Below are 20,487 nucleotides of genomic sequence, written 5' to 3' on the forward strand. Positions count from 1 at the left end.
TTATTGGGATATCACTTAAATTGCACATTTGACATTGTACTTTTCTAATTCTGATGAATTAAAAAGCTCTGCTTGTGGATACTGGGCTGAAACCGTAACTACTTCTGCACCAACCATAAATATCCTCTATATTCTTTTCTACCTTTTTTTTTTTTTTTTTTTTTTTTTTTAACAGGCTCTCGCTCTGTCACCCAGGCTGGAGTGCAGTGGTATGATCTCAGGTCACTGCAGCCTTTAACTCCTGAGCTCAAGTGATCCCCCCACCTCAGCCTCCTGAGTAGTTGGGACTTCAGTTGTACGCATGACTTGCCTCTCCTATTTCTATCTGTCCTTCTAGTCCTACCTTAGGGCCCATGAGAGTATCCTTCTCTTCTGAACCTCTATGGAATCATCAACTCTCAACCATATTCTTAGAGCACACATATCTCCTCAGCCTACAGTGTTCTTGAGGGTAAAGATTGTGCCTGACTGCCCAATGTGTTCCTCATGGGACCTAGGTCAGTTCCAGGAAAAGCGGGCATATGGTAAGTACCAGCACCAGTGCCCACGCTCACATGGTTGCCTACCTTTTAGCAAGAGCCAGTGGGACAAGTTGGTGGCGGAGCCCAAGATGCCTTGGCACAGACCTAATTGGTAAGAGACAGAAAGAGCTGATGGCCAGGAGCCCAGCCTCATCTGACCTACCAGTACTCTCCTTTCACAATCACTGACACTGTCCCATCGAGGCTTTTGCAGAGGGGAAATTCCTTGAAGTCAGACAATAGATCTGTGAAGTGATCAGGCTTTGGGGCAAAAAGTTATCACTGCAACTTATTTGTGTAAAGATCTGCAAACCAGAGGCTCATTGTCAGGAAGGAGAAAAGGCAAAGGACCCTGTGAACCAGTTGGATTTGACCAGGAACAAACCAGGAAACTGGAACACTGAGCTAGTTATTTAGTGAATTAGTGAGTTACCAAGTTAGTTTGTTTAAATGAGGGAGAAAGACTGTGATTAAAAGTAAATTAATTAAAGGAGGTAACAGCCAACAATTTCATCAAGTTTTCATCTCTTTTAACTCAACAATCCTGCTCTTAGAAAATGATTGAAGACAAAAAAAATGGCAGAAATGTGGCCAAAGAGATATTGATAATAGAAGTAAAAAGTAAATTGGAAACAACTTAAATGTCCCCCAAAGATTTAATGATTTTTGAATGCTGACATAAATCATAATATATCCACTAAAGTAATATTTTAAAGTCATTCAAATAGGTCATTATAAAGACCACACTGGAATTACTCATGTGTGATGCTAGGAAGGAGATCAGAATGCAAAATTATATTTGTGCTGCACATCCAACACTGTGAAAAAAAAATATGCTTTTTTGGAAAAGACAGGAAAGAATGAAAATAGATGATTTGTAAAGATAGTAAGCTTGTGGGTGGCTTTTTATTTCCATAATCATGGTATTATGTTTTTGTATAATATAAAACCTTTATGTTAACCAGGCACTTAGAAGAATAACACCTTAGCATTAAAGGTATATTGCACCCAGAAATTGTTTCAGAGAATTAGACATTAGACATGGCTCTTTTTAATACTCGCATTTTCAAACAAGGGTCCAGTTTATATTTCTCTCTCTCACTGGTAAGAAGTTTGAAATTGCATACTTGAAAGACAGAAACGCTGGACAGATCCCTATAGATGTAGGGATAGATACGGATGCAGATATAGGTTTAGGTATAATTTCCCTTGATAGACTTCCTGTCATGCGTCAAATGCCTCTTGCAAAATGCAACCTATACCTGAAGGCTAGAAAACGTTATGAATGTGGGGAGTTAAATGCCCTTCAAATGCATGAGAACTTACAAATCAAGGGGGATCATGTTTAAGAGAAAAGACGTCTGGTCTTGTTTCAAATGTTTCCTAGACAACCAGAGCCCGGGTCTCTGTGTCACTTAGTTCTGAGTTCAGATAAACATCTCAAAAATTAGAAAACCCAGATATTTTTGGGCTCACAGAAGATTAGCGGTCTGTATTCTCAGTAAATACCAAAGTCAACAATAAGAAAGAAATCATCACAACAAAAAACAGAAAATGCTCCTTCTCTATCTTTAATGACCCGGATAGCTGTCTGTCAAAAGTCCCATTTTTCTAGTTCTCAGAAGGAAATTCCAAGTGTTTCCTGGAGGGTTCAACACCAGATTATCCCTTGCATCCATTTGCCTGAGAGAATAGCAGCTGGAATTGTTAATAAAATTATTATAACAATACTTAGATTTTAAAATGAACCATAAATCTTATTTTTTATTTTTGAGCATTGTTATGGGTCACATATGATAAAGTATCACTACCACAGAAAATGCTTCTACAGTACATCTCTATTACTTCTATCAGCACCATTTACACAGGCTCTCAAAGTTCTAGTGCCCACAATATTTCTTAACTTTTTTCCATTTTTTAAAAATGCTGGAATATAATAACAAAAACTGAAAACAATATATTGCTCAATTTGCTCAAATTTCTCTTTAATGGAGAGAAATTTGAGCAAATTTCTCTATTTTCCAGCTGATCTATAGCAGCTAGAAAACAGCTATATAGTTAATTTGGGGATTACTTATACATGAATCTTGTCGCTGGTAATCACGCCAGGTATTTTATTTTCTTCTAGTTTTTTTTTCTATTTTATTGGGATATCACTTAAATTGCATATTTGACATTGTAGTTTTCTAATTCTGACGATTTTCTTTCTTTCTTTCTCTTTCATTCTCCCCTCCCTCCTTCCCTCCTTCCCTTCCTTCCTTCCTTCCTCCCTTCCTTCCTCCCTCCCTTCCTTCCTCCCTCTCTCTTTCTTTCTTCTATGTTCCCTTCCCTTCCTTTCCCTTCCCTTCCCATCCCTTCCTTCCTTTCTTTCCTTCTTTCTTTCTCTCCCAGGCTGGAGTACGGTAGCACAAACACAGCTCACAGCATCTTTGAAACCCTGGCCCCAAGAAACACTCTTGCCTCAGCCTCCTGAGCAGTTGGGACGACAGACACTCACCACCATGCCTAGCTAATTTTTATTTTTACTTATTTTTTTTATAGAAGGAGGTTTTGCTATGTTGCCCGTGCTGGTCTTAAACTCCTGGCCTCAAGACGTCCTCCTTCCCTGGCCTCCCAGAGTGCTGGGATCACAGTCATGAGCCAGAGAACCTGACCTGAAAAACCATTTTCTTTGAATTAAAAAAAGAAAAAAATTATTTAAAAGTGAAAAAGCGAAACTTTGATGTGTTTGGTTATAATATTTTGCTAATAATATTAACAGAAAGCAATAATTCATGCCAAATAACAGGGGATAGTGTAAATTCAAAATTAATTTTTTTCCACCAAAGACTATAATTCAATATTTCTTTGAGGATATTCTACTGTTTTGCTTATTTCTTCTAGTGCATATTCTATCTTGTCTCTATTAAATCAAATTGTTTTAATAGCATTCTCCTTCCTGTGTTCAAGAATGCTTGTCAGATCAAATATGATATATTTTTTTCAAGATGCTCTATCTTTGGGCAGGTCCCCAAAATACTGAATATAATCTTTGAATTTTTCCAAATGTAATTTCAGTTAGCACAATTGAGGCTCATCTTCCAGTAACAAATTTAAATTATGATCCATATATAGTACAAAGAATGCTTCTGGATTTTTGCCTAAAATCTAGCTTCTATACCTTTTTCCTTATCATCCATGTTAGTGTCATTATAGGATTGCTTTTGCCAATCTTTTAAATAAATGACTAAAACTAAAAATTGCTTTTTTTTAGTTCACTGAAATCAAAATCTGTACCTTTACAGGCAGTATAAAACCAGTGATATTAATTTTGATATATTTGTTTTCTTTTTCGGTATAGTTCAGTAATATGCATAACTGTTAGTTGTTCAATGTGACTTTTGCCCCTGGAGCAATCTTGATGAATTGAGTAATGAAAATTCATTTTGTTCCTTTTTAATCTGTCTTACATGTGTGGACCTTTCAACACCACGTTCCACGTAATTCCCACTAGATCCAGAAATTTTCTCTTTTTTTCACCTGAAATGATTGATCCATTAGTGCCACAGAATGCATCATTATGCTTAGCTAAATAGTATTATTATTCTAAAAACTTGATGCTAACATTCAAGCATTTGCTTTGTCTTTGTTGTATATTATCCGACTGCTGCTTTTTTTTTCCATTTTTTTTTCCAGTTTACACTGGCTTTTCTTCATGTAAGTCAATTTGCTTACTCTCATTATTTCTATTTTAAATAATTAGGCAGATCACCTCTTTATTTCTGTTTCTCTTCCAGCTTTCTTCTTTTCTGCAGGCCTTTTGTGTTTTTCTATTTCAATTATCCTCTAGACTTGTTCTGTTTCAATGATCTAAAAATGTGCTGTTCAACACAATGGCCACTAGCTACATGTAGATATACAAATTTAATTTTAAATTGACTAAAAGTAAATAAAAGTTAAATGTCCTCAGTTGCACTAGCCACATTTCGCATAGTCAATAGCCACATATGTCTAGTGGTTACCATTTTGGCAGCACAGGTGAAGAACATTTCTGTGATAAGAAAGTTCTACTGGACAATGCTGATCTAAAAAACAGTATGACAAATTCTAACGGTATTCAAAGTGCCTACAATTTGACTATATTTGTATTAAAAATGCAAATGAAAGTAAATGTAAAAAAATTTAAAAAGTACTTTCTGTATACATTTTCAAAATTATTTCTTCTCTCACGCCTGTAATCCCAGCACTTTGGGAGGCTGAGGTGGGCAGATCACGATGTCAGGAGATCGAGACCATCCTGGCTAATATGGTGAAACCCCGTCTCTACTAAAAATACAAAAAAATTAGCCAGGCCTGGTGGGGGGTGCCTGTAGTCCCAGCTACTCGGGAGGCTGAGGCAGGAGAATGGCGTGAACCCAGGAGGCGGAGGTTGCAATGAGCTGAGATCGCAGAACTGCCCTTCAGCCTGGGCAACAGAGCGAGACTCTGTCTCAAAAAAAAAAAAAAAAAACTTTAAATATTAAAAATTATTAGTTAAAATTCAAAAGAAAACTATAATTAAATGATAATATATCTCAACATTTTAAATCAAAATTATTTAGGTAAAGCTAATTCTTTTAATTTTTTGGAATTTTAATTCTGTCTTATTTAATCATTTCTTTAAGAACATTAAACTACTAATAATGCCAGCCTTTAATAGCCAATTAGTTGAAAATATTATGAATCTGTATCATATTTGTCACACAGATTATGTCTCAACCTACAAATACACAAATTTAAGAATAATATGAATTATTTCACTTTGCAAACTATCCCTCAACTGCCATAAGTAACATGGCAAATTCATGCTAACTGGTGACTACCTTCAGAGTCATGGATTACAACATAAAGAGAAGCAAGCAAATGGACACTCAGCACTACTTTGTTATCAAGAATCTATTACATTTATGCTGAGAGGAAGGATTTAACAAGTGAATTAATTGTTTTATTTCTCTTACCTAAGTGCTTTAACCATTCAAATATTTTTTTGTACTTCAAAGCATTATCCATCTCCAAGTCCGTAATTGTACAACTCCCATCTCCAAAGTCCATAATAGCACAACTCTCAAACATTCACAGCGTCTAGACACATTCGCCTTTTGTTTCAACGACACAGGGCAAAATATCTGTAGATCTGGGGGCCTCAACGGTTTTTGTCACAAAAACGGATGTTTGAGATTATGGGTCCAGCTACGCCAGCTATGAGTACTGGATCCTGAACGATAGACATGCCCACACCCTCTTTTTCAGGTTTATTTGCTATTTTGTCTGTGGTACATGGTGGCATTTACCTTCAGAAACAAAGTATGTGGCCCAAGGTAAGGGAGCCTCTTGCCCACATCTTAGTGCCACATTATCAAAAGACACATGATGTGTTAAGCTGGTAACAGGGCTAAAAAACGCCAATTGGAAGGTCTATCACATACGCAATTTACAAAACACTTCCGTGTGCTATGAATCAGGTGTTGTGTAACACGGCAAATTTATGCTAACTGGTGACTTGCATGGTGTTGCCCTTGATTTACCTCCCCAAGAAAACCCAATAAGGAAGGCATGATTACCCTGCAATCTCATTTTACAAAGGCAAACTGAGGCTTTGGAGGAGTTCAGTCACTGGCTCAATATAACATTGCTGATAACAGGCAGAGGCAAGGTTCAAACCAGGGGTGTCTGAAGCCAGTCAAAACCGGGACTCTGAAGCCAAAGCCCTTTGTGTAACCACTCTACAGTTCCACTTCACTTGGATGGCTGAGCTGTGGGTGGGAGAGTCTCTGGGTCCCCGGAGTCAGTCATCTGAGTGTGTGCTCTTCCTGGGAAGAGGCTGATGCTGAAAGCTACCTTATTTAATGGCTGAGAAAAGTAGAACTGATGGTTGAGGAGAGGAGACCTGAGAGTGTGTCCCCAGCAGGAAGACAACTGGAGGAAGTGTTGCTGCCGCCACTGCCTTATAGATTTACTCTCATCTCCTGTGCCCCAGAATCTCCAGTGGTGCCCTGATGCCATCAGGGCAGGCCATATTCCAGGCATCTTGTTAAGGACACCCTTGATTTTGCCCCTATCAACATATTCAGCCATATCTCTTCATTCCCACCTACCCCAGCATAGCCCCAATTTTAGTATCAATGAACTCCACATTCTCAGAAAGCAATATGCTCTTTCATCCTTCCTGCCTTTGAATATGCTCTTCCTCTGCCTAGAATGACCTCTTTGCTCCTCTTGTCTGGAGAAACCTCACTCATCCTTAAAGTTATAATTCAAATGTCACCTCCTTTGTCACTTGTTCCTAGAGTCCTCCAGGGAGTTGGTCACTTCCTTCTCTGAGATCTCTAGAACTTTGTTCGGACCTCAGTTAGAGACTTGTCATCCCAGCAAAACTATGATATTTGCCCATATGGCCACTTTCTCACTAGACAGTAAGCTCCTCCCGGACAGACAGGGGCTATTTCATATTGCTCTCTGCTTCCTCTCAGCCCCATCCTATGTTCCAAGCACAATCCCTAAAACATAGCAGGCTCTTAATAACTGTGGAATGTTGAGCGAATAAACAAATAAAAGCCAAGAGAAGATGACCTTGAGGCTTGGTTTCCTGGGAGGAGACTCCGCCTTTCGTACCCACAGACTCCTTTGAGCAATATCCCATCCATGGCATTGAGCCACCATCTGGGGCCATTGCACCAGTAGAAGCTCAGGGTGGGGCTGGTGTGAAAACAAACAGGCAAGACAACAACAAGGGTGTGTTGAAACCTTTAAACGTTCTATTCCTTGGTGTTCAAACTTGCCAAGCATACTAGGTCAGGTGGGTTCTTATTCCAGTACTCTGAGAGAATTGATCATAGGCACTAAGCTTTCACATTGGGTCAAGGAGCAAGGGAGAAACAAAGGAGATGTGAAATTGGCTTCCTTGTTCTGCTTTTCTCTTTGTGTGTGTATTTGTCTTTCCAAACAGAAGAAACCCTGACCTTCCCCTGCTTTAATTACCTAATTATTTTGACACCTTGGGCTGTTGCATCACCCCCACACAGTGTTTTGTCAAGGACACCACATTGGGTGTATCTAGGCTTAGGGAGAAGCAATTGACAAGAAACAAGTTCTGACAGCCAGGGAAATGTTGGGCAGAGGAAGAGATCTAGGGGAAGGAGGAGAGGGGTGGGGGAAGGAAGAAAGAGGAAACGTTTGGTATGCTGGGAAATGAGTATCTTGGGGAAGGTGGCAGCAAGGTTGGCAAAATTGGGTGTCTCTGCTTGGAAGGTTTCCCAGATTGGGTTTCAGGGAAGATTGTGTCCAAGCCAGAAAACTAGTGTGCTATAGGTCCCTAAAAAGGATGAAATACAGGAACTCAGGCTGTCATTCCAGGGACTACATCTAACTGAGAAAATTTCTTCACCCTGGACCTCGGTTTCCTCTCCTTAGAAACAAGGCAAGGCTTAGTATTTTTCTCCCAAGCACAAAAATGTTTTTACTCAAATAGTTTGGAGATATACACGGAAGAAATAATCAAAACAGTCATAAAGTCCTTCACAAACCATATTCTTCAAACAGTTAACGCTGAGGATTCTGAAAACTAACATGGGCAAGCTGAATATTTGTCAAAATTGTGAAACACGGCCCCAGCAAAGCACAGAAAGCTCTTCAATTCTAACCTCCAAGTATTGTGTATGGAGGAACCAAAAAAGCAGATGATACAGAGAAGCTGAAAGCCCGAAGGTCTGGAAACCTAAGGACAAAGCAGTGTGGTTCAGTGGTATGGTCCTGGGCTGAGACTCAGGAGACCTGGGTTTTAGACCAACTCAGCATTTACAACTTTACATCTGCCAGTCTAGATCTGTCATCTGCACAATAAAAGAATGAATCTCTGTGGGGTTCACACTCTTCAGGGTAGGAGTGAGGGGTTGTGCAGCAAGGTACCGAAGGCCACAGTTAAGTATGATGAATCTTCCTAGAACATCAATTTTACCTGGTGGCAAACACTTTAAGGCATTATTTTTCATTCAAAAATGAATTCACTTCCTCAACCAATAAGTATTGAGCAATGCTCTATGCCAGATGCTCTTTTAATATGAAAGTAAACATGGATATTTTATTATGGTTAATATCAATAATTTATATGAACTAAGGCAGACAAGGGTCTCTCAAATTATTTTTCATATGCAGTGATACTTCTTGTTGTGCCCATTTACTCTCACTTCCAATCAAATCATACTTTGTCCTCTTTTGGCCCTGGATACACTCCAATGGATAGGAGTGCAAGTGGTCTCACTATCCCTTCCAGCAGACAGAGCTTATACTGTCAGGGCCACATGAAATTAAGCAAATCTTTGTTGTGACAACAGGCTGAATTTTTATATCTACCAGACAAAAGTAAGGAAAGGGACCTAACTTTTAATACACATCACAAACTGCATACAGGTAATAAATGTATCAGCCTTTTTAAAGCAATTTTATGTGATCTACACAATCATCAACCTGTAAGTAAGTATCTTTGCATCCATTTGAAAACTCAGAAGACCAAGCAGAGGTACAAAGAGGTTTTGAGATTTGTCCAAAGTCTCACTGTCAATAACTGAGAGAGACAAGATGTCATGCTGCCTTGATCTGGCTCCAAAGCCAATCCCCTTCTCACTCTGACGCCATCCTCAGAAGATGGTGGTGATGGTGTCACTTTTTCCCTTGATATCTCTCTCTGTCTCACAGCACAACATCATAGTGTAAACTCAAGTGCTAAGGACACAGTATTAGAGAGCAAGTGCACCTGCCTCAATTGATCCATAGGGCCACAGAATATCAGGGTTGAACAGGATTGTAGAGATTGCCCACTATCTTTGTTTGCATAGATGAACCTGGGACCTAGGCTATCAAAAGAACATTCGTAAAAAGAGGTTCTGATGTTGGCAAGACCTTATATCAAGGCCCAGCACTGCCAAGTATCTCCGGGACTCCAGAGTCCTTTAACCTCCCCAAGACTCATTTTCCTTCTCTGGAAAATGGGAACAAAATGGGGAAATACTGCTGCATGCAGAGGTTTATTGTGAAGCCTATATAAAACCATGTACAGGAAGGATTTTCTAAACTCTAAAGTGCCACATACACATGTCTATGACTCATATAAGGTCTCCTAGCACAGACCCAGTACTTAGATACTGGCATCCTGACTTCTAGTTAAATATTCTTTCCATTACCGCACAGTGCTAGAGATCCTTTGCTTTGCTTCAGGGAGCTGCAGCCACTGCACTGTCATGCAGGACAGACTCTCAACCACTTCACAAAGGAGTAGATGAGTGTGCACTTTTTCCTTTAAGGCAAGGCTGTCTAATGGTATGCACTTTCATAAACAAAGAAAATGGAGCAAGCAGCTCATGGTCTATTACCACCCCAAGATGCTCCCTGGAGGAGGAAAGCACACCACATTACAAACAGCATTGAGTGCCTGTAGTGAGCCGGGCACTGTACTGAGGCCAGTAAAGTCCAAGGTCCCTGCCCTCCAGGAGCAAGCCCAGGCACAGGGAGTTTCTGAAGAGAAGTGAATCATTCAGGGATGGTCCCTTTGGTATGACATGCACCAGGGCCAAGTTTAAATTACTAAAACTTCAAACCTGTAAACAGTGGGAACGTCTAGTTCCCCCACCCCCACCGCACCCGACCCCACCCCCCACATTTCTCCCCAGGCCTTCCCTTCTGAATCTACAAGGAGAGTGCCATGTGCAGAACACTCTGCACAGACAGGCCAGACATCCCACAAGGCCCCTGGTTTCTCTGGGCTCTCAGTCTCCTAAGTTCCCTCAGTATAAACCTGCCATTACCTCACCAGTCCCCAGAGGAGGAATGTGAAAACCACTCACCCACTTATGGTATAACTGGAGAAACTGAAGCCCAGGAAAGAGACCAATCTGATTCAAAGTCTGCCTGTGAATCAGCATTATAAAACACCAGAACCCAGGAATCTCAGCTCCTGCCTTCCCTGCTCAGCCACCAGGCACCTACAACTGGATATTTAGTGGGTTCCTTGTCAGGAGAGGTCCCATTTTCATAGGTCATCATAGCCACTGGGGCTTCCTAACATCAGACATGGCGTATAATAGGCACCACGCACAATGTTTACCAGTGACTGGGAAACCCACTTAATTCTCTCTGAGCTTCCTGTGTTCTCATCTGTAAAATGCCAGGATTAAATTAGATGATCTCTGAGACACTTTCCATTTCTAACTGGTACTTTTAGGCAAGCTGAGTGCCTTAACTTGGCAAGTGGGAATAGTGGAAATCGGTTTAGGAAAGTAGGTTGAGATTCCTAAGACTGATTGAGGACCTAGCAGTGGGGATGCAGGGTTTCAAAACTAGTGGGAGGCATGAGAGAGGCGCCCCGCCAGCCCTCATGGAGCCCACAGCCTGGGGCAAAAGAACCTCCTGGTCAGAATGGAGACTCACAGGCCGTGCTGCTCAGTGGAACCTCAATAGGCCTGAGGGTTTTATGGGACTTAGGTGCCTATGCAAAGCCTGTCCCTTTTTTTGCTGGGGAACCCTGGGAAAATTGCTCCCTTTCCCTGGACCTCATAGTATTTTAGTTTTAAGTCATAATATCAATTTTTCTACAATGTTCTGAAAGGAAGAGCTTCTTTTCTTTTCCTCGACAGGGGTGGAACAGAAAGACCAACTCTCTCATTGCCTGGGATTCTTTTTTCACATGGTTTATAGTGATCATGTCTACATGAGGATCCTTTGGGCAGGCCTTCATCCTCACTCGGCATATGCAGACATTCGTAAAACAGGATCTATAACATCCTTAGATGTCTACAGATGTCTGCATTTGCATCTTCTAAATCTATGCCTTTACAGGTGTTAGACCCACCTCGATCATTTATAAATTGCACAGTAACCTGTTGCTTATTAATTTGTGTTTGATTTTGATGGGTTTTTCCCTACTCCATTTTCTACAAGGGAGTCTAACTCAGTAGTTAATTCCATAAACTAATTCCACATGACTGAGCAGGTGTAAGGCTTGGCTTGACTCAAGTCTCAGCTCTGGCACACTCAGAAATGGCATTACTTTTGTCAAGTTACTTACCCTGTCTGAGTCTCAGTTTCCCAGTCCCTAAAAATTAATAATACTTGCCTCTTGGGTTGTTGAAATAATTAAATTAAATTAAATAGTGCAAATGAGGTCAAATGAGGTTGTTTATCCTGTAAGTGTTAAATAGTTAAGAAGACTTATTTTCCTCATAGTTTATATAAAGTCCAAATCCATCTCTTTGCAGCAGGGACTATCTTGTCAGTCTTAGTTGTATCCTCTGGGATCATGCAGAATAGGCCTATGCTCCTTTTCCACATGGCAACCTTTCAAATGTGTCCATTTGACCATGATCCCTTTACATGGCAAAGGGATTTGCCAGAGAAACTAACTAAGGTGGGAAAAAGCATATCCAGTACCTCGCCACAATCTGGAAGGAGAACCAAGAAATTCTGACTGCCGCTGCCCTGGAGTGACCACTCCAACATCTGCCTCCAGGAACAGAGGGGTGAGCCAGGGCTCCTGGAAAACTTGACTCTGGCAACACATGATGTTGAAGTGTTGAAACATGCCACTTTGATGTGGCATTAGCTCATGATACTCCTTTATTTCCTTAATTTAGAAGAAAAGCACAGCTGCTAGAATTTTTAATATAATAAGTACAGTGGTGCACTGAATGTTTTCAGGAATTTTTCTACAGAAGCATTGCACCCAATTGTGCAACTTTTACAAAATATATTCATGCAAATCTATTTTTCTCTATTATGCAAAGAGCTTCCCTTCTTTTAAACTGTTTTCTAACCTTTCAACCGCTATTGAATCCAGAAACCAAAGTACCCTGTCTACTTGAAACAATTCTGAAACGAGATAGGGGTTAAATAAATCAGCAAATACGTAAACTAAATTGCTCTATTTGTGAAATGAGGATTCTAAGAAATCTATTTGCTACCTTTCTGCCTGCTTGGCATGGGAGTATTATTTGATCCCTTGTTTTGAACCTACTGAAATGACATCATCAGGTAAGTGCAAAACATTATTATCATCAACTGGTCCATAACATGTTTCATAGGTAAATATCCGGTCTTTGGATGCTTTTCAGGCTTGGGTTGTTAGTGGGTGCCAGTGGCTTATCAGAAAAACTATGGAAAGGATTCTTTCACTGGGAAAAAGAGTGGATTAGAAGCGCCTAAGGTACCTTCAAACCTATTATTCTAATCGATGTCTAAGCTATTGTTGAGACAACTTCTGTTGTAGGTGGAAAAAAGAGTGCTAGTGAAGGCTTTTGCTCTTTGAATGATAATGCAAAACACAACTTATCTGATCACACAAATGATCAAAATTTCAGAGTTGTATTATGTTATTTTCTGTGTAACACTAAAAATTCTCTATCTTATGGTAGACAGCGTGGTGACGGTAGGACCAATCAAGGGCCATAATAATTTTTTTTCTTTACCAGTCTCAATGCCCAATTCATTTATTATATATCACGCTGATTAGGTCTGGAAACTGTTTTTATTAATCATCTTTACCTACCTGCAGAACTTTCCATGTAGTGTTTGCCCAGTGGGTCCTAAGAGTGCCCAGATCTTGATCCTTTCAGCCTCCTGAACCATCAATCAGCAGGAACAGAACAGCCAGGGTTCTGGACTATTCGCATCCAGTAGCAAGTAGCCTTATGTGTCTATTCCAGGGCAACAAATAATACCTCGATTTCTTTGTCTGCCAAGTTATAGAAGGGATTGGAAGGTAATAAACTTCATTGCGAATTATAGGTCTTTCAAAATGGAAAGTTGAAAGACCTATATGGAGTCAGTTGAAACTGGCCCCTTTTTGTTTTCTTCAAGTTTTTTTTTTTTTTAAGCCGCATTATGTGGAAACCTGTCCCTTTCATGTGAACTGTCCCTTTCATGTGACCATGAATTGGTCATCGCTGCCTCACTCCATTTCCCAATCTGGAAAGGAGTGGCTACAATTTAGAAGACAGTTAAAATGTCAAGAGCTCCCTCACATAAGATGGGCAAAAGATTCTCACCAGCTCACTTCCCTCTGCTACCCTAAGATAGGCCCTACCTCACATCCTATTCATTCAGCTCAGATACAATTTCCTCCAATAAGCCTTCTCTGACTCTTCACATTCTGTCACTCAAGCTGGAAATAATCTCCCCATTCTCTGAATCCCATAGCTCTTATTCTGTCCTTTTCTTACAACACTGAGCAATTTTTGAAGGCTGGTCAGTCATATGATAATAACTTTACTGGAATGGAAACTTTTGGGGGGTAATGTCCCTGTCTTTTTTCAATATTCCTTAAAACACTGCTGACAGGACTTGAATTACACATGAGAGTCACTTAATGAGATAAATGAAAGACAAATTAGCTTGACACTTCTGTTTGCTTTGTGGCCACAAAGCACTTATAGCTGATTAATTTGGAAATGTGAACTCCTTAGGAAATATTTTTTGGGATATTTTCTTGGGTGTTTTCAAAAAATTCTGAAAACATATGGCAGAATATTTTTTAATTTTAATAATATGATTTAAAGAAACCCAAAACACATGGAAAGCATTAAACTTTGCTGTTAAACAGTAAAGTACAAAAGAAAACAAATTTGAAACACTTACATATTAAAGTAGAAAAATCTTTGAGCAAACAGTGAATGCTTGAAAGATGTTTTTTTTTTGTTTTTTGAAAATAGAATACAAGAGTCATAAAGATGCCTAGACATAATTTCCCAGCCATGTCACTGTTAGGAATTTTGGAATTTATGCAAAGGTAATAACTCAATAACAGCAAAAAGCAAAATGTACAAAGATGTTCATGACACTACAATAGCAAAAAAGCAAGCAAATAAACAAAAAGTTAAAGACAACTCCAAGGTCTCAAGTAAGGGAATGGCATTATTAATTATAAAACAGCATCAAAAATTATATTAGCTAGTCATGAAAATGCAAACTTTAAAAGGAAAATGCTTATTATGTAATGTTAAGTGAAAAAAATTCAGGCCATAAAATGAAATATACATTATGCATGCATGATGAAAAGACAAGAAATAGATAAGAATGTGCAAAAATACAAATAGTTGGATATGGTGTGGGATTCTGGCTTGTTTTCTGTTTTAAAGACATTACATCATCTTTTCAATGACAAACTACATTTTAAGTAATTGAAAACAAAGTCTCATTAGCCTTGTCCTTGTATAAATTCCCAGAGAACACATTATTCTTATTCATTTCCACCTCTGCTACTTGTCTTTGATTTGGACCAGCTCCATTCTATTTTCCCACTTCTCAGTCATCTAACAAGACTAGAAAAAGACCCCCATCAAACAAAGAAGCAAAATGCACCAAGTTTAGCAGAAGCTGTGAATCCAAATCAGCGAACATTGGCTGACTGGATCTAATACCTTGACCCCAACATTGAAAAGGCAGACCCAGATTCTTCAATGACCACAAGAGGCCTTGGTTTAAGAAGCCTGCCAACGAAGCACAATGTTCCCATCCTCAGAAATAGACCCCGGCGGAGCTTCCAGGGGCCCATAAAAGTCTGCACTCTTGGAAGAATGTGACAACTCTGGCAACAAATACAGATTCGTCATTCTCTATATTAAGGGAATGTTCAGTTGCATCAGGCTTTTTTAACAGGGCCAACACTTAGTGCAATTTTGAGGTTGGCAAAGTGAATTTTCACCTACCCCAAGGCTTCTTTCCCTGCCTCCAGATGATCAATAAAATCACCTCATGTTACAGTTTCAAAGTCCTTTCACATCCAATTTCTCATCTGAATCTTTCATCAGCCCAATGAGGTGGGTGTTATTATTCACTTGACTTTTCAGAAGAGAATATTGAGGCTTAGGGAAGTGAAGCGACTTGTCTAAAGCCACCCAGCAAGTCTGGGACTGAATGAGACACAAGCCCCATCCTAACTTCTGGTCAGTTCTCCTTCCATTTACCCTAGGCACTCATCCCTCTTCCAGTTCATAAGGAGAGCTGACCCAGTGCACCTGCTGACAGCGGCACTCAGCGTGCTGCCATCCCAGGGATACCTATGTTTTAAAGGAAGGCAGATGGGGAAAGACAGCATGTAGCCTGTAAGAAGGAAAAGTCAAGTGGAATTCCAAAGAAGATGCTGAAATAGCTGACTTAGCAGCTCTAGGGAACTATAGAGAAAAACACTGAGAGGTAGAGAGAGCTATGAGGAACCCCTGGGGAGACAGAAACTCTTTTTAACTGTCAAGTATGTGTATCTGGAAAGGTCTTAGCCTAAAGCAAAAGGTATCCAGGCTGCTGTAGAAGGATGAAATAAAAGCTGTTGCTTCTTAGACTTCATTTCTCCTCCCTCTCACTCTCACTGTTTTGGGACAGACACGGCACGAGCTTAGAACTCTTGAACAAGTGCTCCTGGGATGTAAAACTAGGGTAGTGTGGAAGCCCTGTGCCTGGGTGGGAGTGAGAAAAAAAATAGACAATGATGGATGGGCCACAGGTGGTCACTGCCCAACTCTCTCCCTCTAAACCGCCAGGGCTGGTGGATTACCATCGCCTTTCCCGGATGCTAGTTCTTTCTAAAGTAAAGAATACATCTGAGGAGCTGTGTGGTGGATGAGGAGTGATATACTCTGGTTTCCTGATGCCTGAAACCCACCACTCTAGGTGCATGCTTCGCTCTATCCCCATCTCAAACTCATCAAGGCAGGTCAGTGCAGACGGAAGTTTGACCTTCAACCCTTCAGTCATTGGCATTGCTGGACAGAATAATCTATACCCTAAAGAAATGGAAGCTGGATCTAAAGAGAAGCACTAATTTTTTTAAAAAAGAAAGAAAAAGGAAAACCAACAACTTGAATTATAGATTCCATAGAAACCAGAGGTATTAGAATGGACAGATTAAAAATTTATGTATGCATATTTTTAAATAAGGTATAATATTAGCAATATGAAATGAAAACAAGAAATCATAAAAAGAATCAAGTATAGGCCGGGCGTGGTGGCTCACGCCTGTAATCCCAGCACTTTGGGAGGCTGAGGCTGGTGGATCACCTGAGGTAGGAGTTCGAGACCAGCCTGACCCACATGGTGAAACCCTGTGTCTACTAAAAATACAAAAATTAGCTGGGCATGTTGGTGTGCACCTGTAATCCCAGCTACTTGGGAGGCTGAGGCAAGGGAATTGCTTGAACCTGGGAGGCAGAGGTTGCAGTGAGCCGAGATCGTGCCACTGCACTCCAGCCTGGGTCTCAGAGTGAGACTCCATTTCAAAAAAAAAAAAAAAAAGGAATCAAGTATAAATTTAGGTGTGACAAATATAATAGTTAAGATAATGATGATAACTAGTAGAAAAGATTCTGTTGAGAAATGACTTAGTGAATGAGGAGATCACTAAGTCAAAATTTATCTCAATGCAATAAGAGCTATTTATGACACAGCCACAGCCAATATCATACTGAATGGCAAAAGCTGGAAGCATTCCCTTTGAAAACCGGCAGAAGACAAGGATGCCCTCCCTCACCACTCCTATTCAGCATAGTATTGGAAGTTCTGTCCAGGGCAACCAGGCAAGAGAAAGAAATAAAGGGTATTCAAATGGGAAGAGAGGAAGTCAAATGCTCTCTGTTTCCAGATGACATGAATGTCTATTTGAAAACCCCATTGTCTCAGCCCAAAATCTCCTTAAGCTGATAAGCAACTTCAGCAAAGTCTCAGGATACAAAATCAATGTGCAAAAATCACAAGCATTCCTATATACCAATAATAGACAAACAGAGAGCCAAATCATGAGTGAACTCCCATTCACAATTGCTACAAAGGGAATAAAATACCTAAGAATACAGCTTACAAGGGTTGTGAAGGACTCTTCAAGGACAGCTACAAACTACTGCTCAAGGAAATAAGAGAGGACATAAACAAATGGAAAAGCATTCCATGCTCATAGATAGGAAGAATCAATATCATGAAAATGGCCATACTGCCCAAAGTAATTTATAGATTCAATGCTATCCCCATCAAGCTACCATTGACTTTCTTCTCAGAATTAGAAAAAAAAAAACTACTTTAAATTTCATATGGAACCAAAAAAGAGCCCATATAGCCAAGACAATCCTAAGCCAAAAGATCAAAACAGAGGCATCATGCTACCTGACTTCAAACTATACTACAAAGCTACGGTAATGAAAACAGCATGGTACTGGTACCAAAACAGATATATAGGCCAATGGAACAGAACAGAGGCCTCAGAAATAACACCACACATCTACAACCATCTGATCTTTGAAAAACCTGACAAAAACAAGCAATGGGGAAAGGATTCCCTATTTAATAAGTGGTGTTGGGAAAACTGGCTAGCCATATGCAGAAAACTGAAACTGGACCCCTTCCTTACACCTTCTACAAAAATTAACTAAAGATGGATTAAAGACTTAAACATAAGACCTAAAACCATAAAAACCCTAGAAGAAAACCTAGGCAATACCATTCATGACATAGGCATGAGCAAAGACTTCATGACTAAAATACCAAAAGCAAAGGCAACAAAAGCCAAAATAAACAAATGGGATCTAATTAAACTAAAGAGCTTCTGTGCAGCAAAAGAAACTACCATCAGAGTGAACAGGCAACCTACGGAATGGGAGAAAATTTTTGCGATCTATCCATCTGACAAAGGGCTAATATCCAGAATCTACAACTTAAACAAATTTATGAGAAAAAAACAAACAACTCCATCAAAAAATGGGCAAAGGACATGAACAGACACTTCTCAAAAGAAGACATTTATGCAGCCAACAAACATAAGAAAAAAAAAGCTCATCATCACTGGTCACTACAGAAATGCAAATCAAAACCACAGTGAGTTACCATCTCAAGTCAGTTAGAATGGCAATCATTAAAAAGTCAGGAAGCAACAGATGCTGGAGAGGATGTGGAGAAATAGAAATGCTTTTACACTGTTGGTGGGAGTGTAAATTAGTTCAACCATTGTAGAAGATAGTGTGGTGATTCCTCAAGGATCTGGAAACAGAAATACCATTTGACCCAGCAATCCCATTACTGGGTATACACCCAAAGGATTATAAATCATTCTGCTATAAAGACACATGCACACATATGTTTACTGCAGCCCTATTCACAATAGCAAAGACTTGGAACCCACCCAAATGACCATCAATGATATACTGGATAAAGAAAATGTGGCACATATACACCATGGAATACTATGCAGTCACAAAAAAGGATGAGTTCATGCCCTTTACACGAACATGGATGAAGCTGGAAACCATCATTCTCAGCAAACTAACACAGGAACAGAAAACCAAACACTGCATGATCTCACTCATAAATGGGAGTTGAACAATGAGAACACATGGACACAGGAGGGGAACATCACACACTGGGGCCTGTCAGGGGGTGAGGGGCTAGGGGAGGGAAAGCATTAGGAGAAATACCTAATGTAGATGACAGGTTGATGGGTGCAGTAAACCACCATGGTACATGTGTAGATACCTAGGTAACAAACCTGCACATTCTGCACATGTATCCCAGAACTTAAAGTATAATTTAAAAGAAGAAAAAGAAAAAAAAAAGAAAAACCAACAAACTGAATTACAGATTCCATAGAAACCAGAGGTGTTAGAACAGACAGATTAAAAATTTACATATGCATATTTTTAAATAAGGTATAATGTTAGCAATATGAAATGAAAACAATAAACCATAAAAAGAATCAAGCATGGGGGGAGGAGCCAAGATGGCCGAATAGGAACAGCTCCGGTCTACAGCTACCAGCGGGAGCGAGGCAGAAGGCGGGTGATTTCTGCATTTCCATCTGAGGTACCGGGTTCATCTCACTAGGGAGTGCCAGACAGTGGGCGCAGGTCAGTGGTTGCGCACACCGTGCGCGAGCCGAAGCAGGGCGAGGCATTGCCTCACTTGGGAAGCGCAAGGGGTCAGGGAGTTCCCTTTCCGAGTCAAAGAAAGGGGTGACGGACGGCACCTGGAAAATCGGGTCACTCCCACCCGAATACTGCGCTTTTCCGACGGGCTTAAAAAACGGCGCACCACGAGATTATACCCCACACCTGGCTCGGAGGGTCCTACGCCCACGGAGTCTCGCTGGTTGCTAGCACAGCAGTCTGAGATCAAACTGCAAGGTGGCAGCGAGGCTGGGGGAGGGGCGCCCGCCACTGCCCAGGCTTGATTAGGTAAACAAAGCAGCCCTGAAGCTCGAACTGGGTGGAGCCCACCACAGCTCAAGGAGGCCTGCCTGCCTCTGTAGGCTCCACCTCTGGGGGCAGGGCACAGACAAACAAAAAGACAGCAGTAACTTCTGAGGACTTAAATGTCCCTGTCTGACAGCTTTGAAGAGAGCAGTGGTTCTCCCAGCATGCAGCTGCAGATCTGAGAACAGGCAGACTGTCTCCTCAAGTGGGTCCCTGACCCCGACCCCCGAGCAGCCTAACTGGGAGGCACCCCCCTGCAGGGGCACACTGACACCTCACACGGCAGGGTATTCCAACAGACCTGCAGCTGAGGGTCCTGTCTGTTAGAAGGAAAACTAACAAACAGAAAGGACATCCACACCAAAAACCCATCTGTACATCACCATCATCAAAGACCAAAAGTAGATAAAACCACAAAGATGGGGAAAAAACAGAACAGGAAAACTGGAAACTCTAAAAAGGAGAGCGCCTCTCCTCCTCCAAAGGAACGCAGTTCCTCACCAGCAATGGAACAAAGGTGGATGGAGAATGACTTTGACGAGCTGAGAGAAGAAGGCTTCAGACGATCAAATTACTCTGAGCTACGGGAGGACATTCAAACCAAAGGCAAAGAAGTTGAAAACTTTGAAAAAAATTTAGAAGAATGTATAAGTAGAATAACCAATACAGAGAAGTGCTTAAAGGAGCTGATGGAGCTGAAAACCAAGGCTCGAGAACTACGTGAAGAATGCAGAAGCCTC

General features: G+C 40.6%; 1 long non-coding RNA gene across 1 annotated transcript in view, besides 1 other annotated feature; it reads right to left on the bottom strand.

Annotated features, from left to right (window-relative positions):
• Positions 1-20,487, bottom strand: part of LOC105374264 (uncharacterized) — a 59,909-nt gene that overhangs the window by 12,427 nt on the left and 26,995 nt on the right. The gene's annotated exons all lie outside the window — the stretch shown is intronic.
• Positions 19,537-20,187: an enhancer, noted in NCBI's record as "OCT4-NANOG-H3K27ac-H3K4me1 hESC enhancer chr3:187580545-187581195 (GRCh37/hg19 assembly coordinates)". NCBI's record gives its function as "activates a minimal SCP1, AML or CMV promoter by ChIP-STARR-seq in naive and primed H9 embryonic stem cells {active_cell/tissue: H9 hESC(naive and primed)}" and the evidence as "EXISTENCE:reporter gene assay evidence [ECO:0000049][PMID:30033119]".

This window comes from Homo sapiens, chromosome 3 (assembly GCF_000001405.40).
Source record: "Homo sapiens chromosome 3, GRCh38.p14 Primary Assembly".
Lineage (NCBI taxonomy): Eukaryota > Metazoa > Chordata > Mammalia > Primates > Hominidae > Homo > Homo sapiens.